Source organism: Homo sapiens, chromosome 14 (assembly GCF_000001405.40).
Source record: "Homo sapiens chromosome 14, GRCh38.p14 Primary Assembly".
In the NCBI taxonomy this organism is placed as follows: domain Eukaryota; kingdom Metazoa; phylum Chordata; class Mammalia; order Primates; family Hominidae; genus Homo; species Homo sapiens.
Genome location: NC_000014.9, coordinates 100,021,896 through 100,030,627, shown reverse-complemented (window position 1 = coordinate 100,030,627; position 8,732 = coordinate 100,021,896). Strand labels below are relative to the sequence as shown.

Here is an 8,732-nt window from a genome sequence, read left to right as displayed (position 1 = left end):
TAGCAAACATGATTATCTTCCAAGGACTGATTTCTGGCATTCTGAGTCTGAACGCTCAGGGAGAGGGGAAGACTAGAAGTACTCTAGCTGGAGAATGTATCAGCCTTTTTCCTGGCTCCCATGCAATTTCTAATCCAGGATAAGTGTCTATAAAATGCTTTGCTGCTTACAGTAAATTAAAAGAATTAATTTATTGAGTATCTAAATGCTTTATAGAGGTAATCTCGGCCGGGCGCGGTGGCTCACGCCTATAATCCCAACCCTTTGGGAGGCTGAGGCAGGCGGATCACCTGAGGTCGGGAGTTTGAGAGCAGGCTGACCAACATGGAGAAACTCTATCTCTACTAAAAATACAAAAGAAAAAAAAAAATAGCCGGGCGTGGTGGCACATGTCTGTAATCCCAGCTACTTGGGAGGCTGCGGTAGGTGAATTACTGAACCCAGGAGGCGGAGGTTGCAGTGAGCTGAGATTGCGCCACTGTACCCCAGCCTGGGCAACAAGAACGAAACTCCACCTCAAAAAAAAAAAAAAAGGTAATCTCATTTAATTAGCATAGTAACTGTCAGAGATTGGTAATAGTCCCATTTTACAGGTAAGGCAACCAAGGCACAGAGAACTTAAGTAATTGCTCAAGGTGATAAGAAAAGTCAAGGTGCTAGCAGCATGGCAAAACACCTAGTAGGATTTCCCATCACTACTACTTATTCCCCAGAGGTGAAAATGTTTATCTCTGCAGAGTAGCCAACTTCAGGGCAGAGAAGTCACCAGTCACAGGGAAAGGACAAAATGGACCTGGGTTATACCCTGAGAAGACAGCAAAAACTCTCCCCTCAATCAGCTAAAGCATGGCTAAGAGCACACTGTCCCCCTGTTCCTATACCTCAGCTCCCGCACACCTACTAACAGCCCTTGTCTTGATTTTCATCCACCCCAATCCTATACCCTCCAAGGCTCACTCCCACAGATGCTTCCTCCTGAAAATCTCTTTTAACTTTTATACAGCAAAACTGTGTCCACCTCCCGGCCACAGCACGTTATCTGTATCCCTATGGAATCTATCCCAATCTCCTATGTTAGTATTATCTTTGCTACCTGCTACTCCATGCTTTTGGTCTGTCTGTTCCACACCTCTTGAGGACAGTGTTCCTGGAGGCAGGACTAAGGATTACACATATTTACATTTTCTACTGTGGCTTATATTGAGTAGATGTTCTGGAAGTATTTGTTCAATGAATGGTTATCCTAGTATCAAAAGGGCCCTCCCACATCCCTACCTCCAAAATGACCCATTGCCTGACTTTTCAGAACCAACATAGTTGAGGATATGTTTGCAACTACCCTAAGTAGTCAGCAGGAGACATAGAGACCCAAGTTGGTATTCTGTTCCAGGACTCACTCCTCTGGGAAGCCCAGCTAAATTCTTCCTCTTTGTTTTCTTTTGTTATTAGCATAAGCAACTACTATTACACTAAGCAAAGAGGAATGGGAGATAACAGAAACTGTTTTAAAACACGGCATTTGAATCTGTTAAACATTAACTGATTAAACTTTCACTGATTACAAAATGTAAAATATACAAACAATACAGCAATGTTTTATAATTTATACACTTCTTTCCTATACATTATCCTCAAAATAGTCCTTTTGCTATATGTGAGGTAACTAAGGCCTAGAGAAATAAAGTGACAGTCATAGCTTACATTTCTTTTGTAGGAAATGGAGCCAGATATTGGGACTCTAGATCTACAACACTGCCTCACTTTGAGTAAAACTCAACAACTGCACGCTTATTTAATAATGAAGAATAGATTTTTTTTGAGATGGAATCTCGCTCTGTTGCCAGGCTGGAGTGCAGTGGCGTGAACTTGGCTCACTGCAACCTGCGCCTCCTGGGTTCAAGCAATTCTCCTGCGTCAGCCTCCCGAGTAGCTGGGACTACAGGTGCGTGTCACCATGCCTCGCTGATTTTTGTATTTTTAGTAGAGACGGGGTTTCACCATGTTGACCAGGATGGCGCTGATCTCTTGACCTCATGATCCACCCGCCTCAGCCTCCCAAAGTGCTGGGATTACAGGCGTGAGCCACCGCGCCCGGCCGATAGATTGTTATTTTTAAGTATATCTGCTTTGCCATCCTAACAACTAAATTATCTGCTTCCCAGTGCATAAAGGACTCAAACAACTCAATACAAAGAAAACATATATTCTGATTTAAAAATGGGCAAAAGATCTGAATAGACATTTCTCAAAAGACATATAAATGGCCAAGAGGTATGTGAAAAAATGCTCAACATCACTAATCATCTGGGAAAGGCAAATCAAAACCACAACAGCATCTCACACAGTTTTATCAAAAAGACAGCCAATAAGTGACTCTGGCAAGGATGTGGAGAAAGGGGGGCCCTTGTACACTGCTGGTGAGAATATAAATTAGTACAGCCACTGTGGACACTCCAAAACAGTTTGGAGGTTCCTCAAAAAAAAAAAAAAAAACAAACAAACAAAAAAACAACTAAAAGTAGAACTACCATATGATCCAGAAATCTCACTGTCAAATATATATCCAAAAGAAAGGAAATTGGTATACTGAAGAGACTGATTTTACTCCCAAGCTTACTGCAGCATTAGTCACAACGGTCCAGATAGGAATTGAGTCTGGGTGCGGTGGCTCATGCCTGTAATCCCAGTACTTTGGGAGGCCAATGAGGGTGGATCACTTGAGGTCAGGAGTTTGAGACCAGCCTGGCCAACATGTGGGAACCCTGCCTCTACTAAAAATACAAAAATTAGCTGGGCATAGTGGCGCATGCCTGTAATCCCAGCTACTTGGGAGGCTGAGGCACGAGAACTGCATGAACCTGGGAGGTGGAGGTTGCAGTGAGCTGAGATCATGCCACTGCACTCCAGCCTGGGCAACAGAGCAAGACTCTGTCTAAACAAAAAAAAGATACAAATCAACCTAAGCGTCCAACAACAGATGAATGGATTAAAAAAAAAGTGGTATAAATATACAGTAGAATATTATTCAGCCATAAGAAAAAATGAAATTCTGTCATTTGCAGCAACCTAGATGAAACTGGAGGACATTACGTTAAGTGAAATGAGGCAGGCACGAGAGAGACGAATACTACATATTCTCACTAATATATGGGAGCTAAAAAAAAATTGAAGTCATGGAGATAGAGAGTAGAATGATGGTTATCAGAGGTGGGAAGGGTAACGGGGAGAGGGTAATAAAGAGGGATAATTAGTGGGTACAGAAATACAGTTTGATAGAAGGAATAAGATTTAGTGTTCAGTAGTACAATAGGGCAACAAGAGTTAACAGTAATTTATTGTACATTTCAAAATAACTAAAAAAGTGTAATTGGAATTTTCCTAACACAAAGAAATGATAAACGCTTGAGATGGGCATTCCAGTTACCCTGATTTGATCATTACACATTGTACACTGTATGCTTGTATCAAAATATCACATGTACCCCATAAATAGGTATACTTAGTATCTATAATAATTAAAATTTTTATAAATAAATAATTTGTTTCCCCAAATAACACCTTGCTTTTGGCTTGTCAGATGGACACCAGGTGAAACTGTCAAGTCAATGAGGTCTGTCCATCCCTGTCTTACCTGCTCTATTCTCTCTCCCTGGTCTGTCTGCCCTCTGCATTCTTCCACCAACCAGTGCTCCCACCATCATCTATCAAAGATCCACATGGTTGTAGATTCCAACAGGCCCCGGGGATCCAAGACAGAGAGGGATCATAGCTCCCACAGTTAGGGACTGTGACTTACTTAATTCAAAGTATTTTCATTATCAGACATTTAATAATACGTCCCAGAGCTGAGAGTATGCTGTCAGCAGTAGTTGGTAGGGATACAAGATGACGACCTTCTCTCTGACCTCAAGGAGCTCATGCTTTGGTAGAGAAGAAGATGTGAGAGAAACTAATAATCATACAACTACACAGTAGTAAGCACTACACAGAGATGGGATGGAAGAGCCGTGGGAACTGGGAGGAGGGTAGGTCATTCTACCCCAAGCCCTCTGCTCCTTTTCTAGAAGTTCCCTACTTTTCCTACATCTGTGGAGCACGTGCCAGGCACCACGACAAGCTCTGAGCCCACAGGAAAGACTGAAAGGTTGGGCTGATGGTTAAGACACAGGGTCAATTTATAGGATGGCATTTCAGGCACATAGTATCTGGGAAAGAGGGACTGAACTGAAACTGACTGATTCCCTTAACAGCTGGGTGACTTTAAGCAAATTACTTAACCTCTCTGAGTGTCTGTTCTCATTTCTTTCATTCATTTAACAAATATTTATTAGATACCTACTGTATGCAAGGCACTATGGACACAACAGTGTTGTGTTTTTTTTTTGTTTTTTTTTTTCCTGAGACACTGGAGTGCAGTGGCATGATCTTGGCTCACTGCAGCCTTGACTTCCTGAGCTCAGATGATCCTCTCACCTCAGCCTCCCAAGCAGCTGGGACCACAGGCATGTGTCACCATGCCCGGCTAATTTTTGTACTTTTTGTAGACGTGGGGTTTCGCCATGTTACCCAGGCTGATCTGGGGCTCCTGGGCTCAAGCAATCTATCCGCCTCAGCCTCCCAAAATGCTAGGATTACAAGCGTGAGCCACTGTGCCCCACCACAGCTGTGTTTTGTTTGTTTGTTTGTTTTTGGAGACAGAGTGTCACTGTTATTGCTCAGGCTGAAATGCAGTGGCCCGATCTCGGCTCACCGTAACCTCTGCATCCCAGGTTCAAGCGATTCTCCTGCCTCAGCCTCCCGAGTAGCTAGGATTACAGGCATGCGCCACTATGCCTGGCTAATTTTGTATTTTTGTATTTTGTATTTTAGTAGGGGTTTCTCCATGTTGGTCAGGCTGGTCTTGAACTCTTGACCTCAGGTAACCCACCCGCCTCTGCCTCCCAAAGTGCTGGGGTTACAGGCGTGAGCCACCACGCCCCGCCAACTGTGTATTTTTAAAAACCTATCCTTGTGGCACTTAGGTTCTGCTAAGGGAGGTAAACAATAACAAATATAAAATTTAAAGCTACAGTATATAGATGGTGATATGTGATCTGGCAAAAAATAAAGCAGAGTAAAAAGAAAGGGAGTGCCCATTGTGGGGAGAGGGATATTAAAAAGACAGGTCAGGGTAACATCTGAGTAGAGACCTGGAAGAGACCAGGGCATAAGCCACGTGGCCACCTGGGGGCAGAGCAATCCAGGCAGAGACTGTCAGTGCACAGGCCTCAAGGAGGAGGCAGCCTGGTGTGTTCAAGGAACAGCACAAGCTGGTAAGGCTAGAGTGGTGTGGAGGAGACAGGGTGCTGTTAGAGATGGAATCTGATAAGAGGGCCAGGCTGAGCAGGCCTGGTAAGCCATTAAAGGAGCTTGTGCTCTCACTCTCAGTGAAGTGGGAAGTTACTGGGAGGGGAGGTGGGTGGTTTGAGAACAGGAGTGACATGATTTGACTTCTTATCTTAAAAAGGAAAATGGGTGAAAAATTGAGACTAGAGAACAGGGCAGAAAGCTTGGAGGGCAGTTACAATGCTACTGCAGCAATTCAGATGCTGGCATTTGGACAAGGCTGGTGGTAGTAGAGCCAGTAGGAAGTGGTTGGATTTGGTGTATATTCTGAGACAGAGCTGGTAGGACTGCTTGATGGATGAGAGACGAGATGTGGAGAGTAGGAGAAAGGGGTCAAGAATGACTGAACAACTAGAAGGAAGGAGTTGCGGAGCTGCCGCTGACTGGGCTGCGGAAGACTGAAGAAAGGACAGGAAAGAGCTGGAGAACCGTGTTAGACATGTTTGAGATGCCTAATTAGGCTTCCAGTAGTGACATCAAACAAGCAGATGGATATATGGGCCCAGAGTTTAGGACAAGTTCTGATGTGGACTGTGTTTTCATCTCCAGCAAGCCACATGGCTGCCTGGGGGCAGGGCAATCCAGGCAGAGATACAACCAGTGAAGAGGTCTAGAGGAGGAGCACAAGGCCCACGTGGCTAGAGTGGTATGGAGGAGAGAGTCCATTTCATTTATGTGAGTTAAAGTTACCTTGGGCAAAGCAATCAGCAGTGATTGGCACACAGCAGGTATTCAATGATCAAGGTTCTTTTCCTTCCCCTTCCCTGCCTGGCCCAGTCTCTACCTCCTGTTCATCTGAGACTTATTTCCTCAGCTCAGATCAATGTACTAAACATCTGTTTCTTCAAGGTACTACAGGAGCCTGGAAAATGAGAGAGACCAAGCTGGCTTGGGCTCTTGACACTTGGATGGTTCTTTAGCCTTGCCATCTTCAAGTCTTCCCCAATACTACTCATTTTGACTTGTTTCAATATTCCAGTGAAAGGGCAAGAAAAACCATCACATTTCCCAAGAGTAGATATAAATTTGAATTAATAAAGAAAGTTGGTTAGAGTTTGAACTTCAAACCCTTCCATGATGTTTTTGTTTAAAAATAAAACAGACTCAAAATAGTAACTTCCATTTTCACGTGACTAACAAATAGCAATTGTGGATTTCAGATCTTGGTACACTACATTCCTCCCGGAAATAAATCGGAATAAGTCAAATACCAGGAGTTCTGAGAAACAGAAGTCTCTGATTTGGGCTCCATTCTTGCTTGACGGATTATGGGGGAAAAAGTCACATTTAAAACTCTTCATTCTGGGGTGGTAAGGAAATGTAGGCACTGTTCTGGGTCCAGAGGTAGAAGGAAAACTACATGGTATTTCACAAAATGCTCAAGACAGTCTCTGTGGTGTGTAGAAACAGGCAAATGTTTATTTAAAACTTTCAGTTCAGTAGAAGGATGTCTAAGAAAGTTTTTAAAAAAGGCAAAAGGAGGCTGGGTACGGTGGCTCATGCCTGTAATCCCAGCACTTTGGGAGGCTGAGGTGGGCAGATTACTTGAGGTCAGGAGTTCAAGACCAGCCTGGTCAACATGGTTGAACCCCGTCTCTACAAAATTACAAAAATTAGGCTAGGTGCGGTGGCTCATGTCTGTAATCCCAGCACTTTGGGAGGCCGAGGCAGGGGGATCACCTGAGGTCAGGAGTTCGAGACCAGCCTGACCAACATGGAAAAACCCTGTCTCTACTAAAAATACAAAATTAGTCAGGCATGGTGGCATATGCCTGTAATCCCAGCTACTCGGGAGGCTGAGACAGGAGAATTGCTGGAGCCCGAGACAAGAGCGAAACTCCATCTCAAAAAAAAAAAAAAAAAAAAAAAAATTAGCCGGGCTTGGTGGTGGGCACTTGTAATCCCAGCTGCTCAGGAGGCTAGGGCAGGAGAATTGCTTGAACTTGGGATGTGGAGGTTGCAGTGAGCTGAGATCCTGCCGCTGCACGCCAACCCAGGTGACAAAGTGAGACTGTGTTCCAAAAAAAAAAAATTAAAAAAAAAAAAGGGCAAAAGGACAAGTGACCTGTGTCTACCCCAAGAGCCAGCTAGAACAGCTTGCCTGGTGGTAGAACAATAGTCTTGTAGGCAATGGCAGACAAAAATCCCCTAGGCAGCTGTAAAACACTGGCCCAACCTCTCAAGCTCCTATTACTCTCTAGGCGTGGGACCCAGGCAGCAGTAAATCATCACAACCATCAGTGCTCAGTGGAGTGAGATCATCTGCAGGGATTCCTTAATGAAACGTGATGACTTCTCTGGCACTCCAGCAAGTGGGGTGTGCTGAGGACACCACGCTTTTCTCAGGAGATCAGTTATCAGCTTTTCCACACGTTCTCCTGAACCAGCACACAAAACAGCCCACGTGGCACCATGGCACCGACCTCAGGACTGTGCCGAGCTAGCTGGATAGCTTGCTTGCTTTTCCTTAAGTTCTGGTTAAAATGCACTGTACCAACTGCTCATTAAGGTCTTACTGTGTGTCAAGCAGTTGTAGGTGCCAAGGAAACAAAAACAGGCAGGATTCTGTTGTTTTTATGAATTCTGCTCTCATGGAATTCATAGTCCAATAAGTAAATGCATCTGAGTCAAAATCAGACTTCCTTTTAAAAACGAATGTGGCCAGCCAGGTGTGGTGGCTCACGCCTGTAAACCCAGCACTTCTGGGGGCCAAGGTGGGTAGATCACATGAGGTCAGGAGTTCAAGAACAGCCTGGCCAACATGGTGAAACCCTGTCTCTACTAAAAATACAAAAAAATTATCTGGGCGTGGTGGTGCATGCCTGTAATCACAGCTACTTGGGAGGCTGAGGCAGAAGGATTGCTTGAATCCAGGATGCAGAGGTTGCAGTGAGCTGAGATTGTGCCACTGCACTCCAGCCCGGGTGACAGAGAGTGAGTCTGTCTCCAAAAAAAAAAAAAAAACAAACCAAGAATGTGGCCCTTCCTTCTGCTCTCAGGGCTGGGGATGTGTGGAGGAGCGTGTCCACAAACGAGGCCTACAGGCACGTGTGGATAACCTGATGGAGCCGGCCCCAGGATGTGCTTCCCCCTTTATATTCATGTAGGAAGAACTGCTGTAATTCATAAAGTTTATATTATCCCATTTAATTCTAACAGTGTTATGGAGTTTCTTGGTGAGAATCACTCTCCCCATTTCAGCTGACACTAAGAAAGATCAAGAGACTTGCCAAGCCCACCAAGTTAGTTCATAGCGGCACCGAGATTATAAAACCAAGTTCTCTGATTCTCATCCCAAAGAAACAGAGAACTTGGTTTATAATCTTACTGCTCTGCAAAACCTCCCC

General features: G+C 44.4%; 1 protein-coding gene across 6 annotated transcripts in view; it reads right to left on the bottom strand.

Annotated features, from left to right (window-relative positions):
* Positions 1-8,732, bottom strand: part of EVL (Enah/Vasp-like) — a 172,815-nt gene that overhangs the window by 113,609 nt on the left and 50,474 nt on the right. The window lies entirely within an intron of this gene.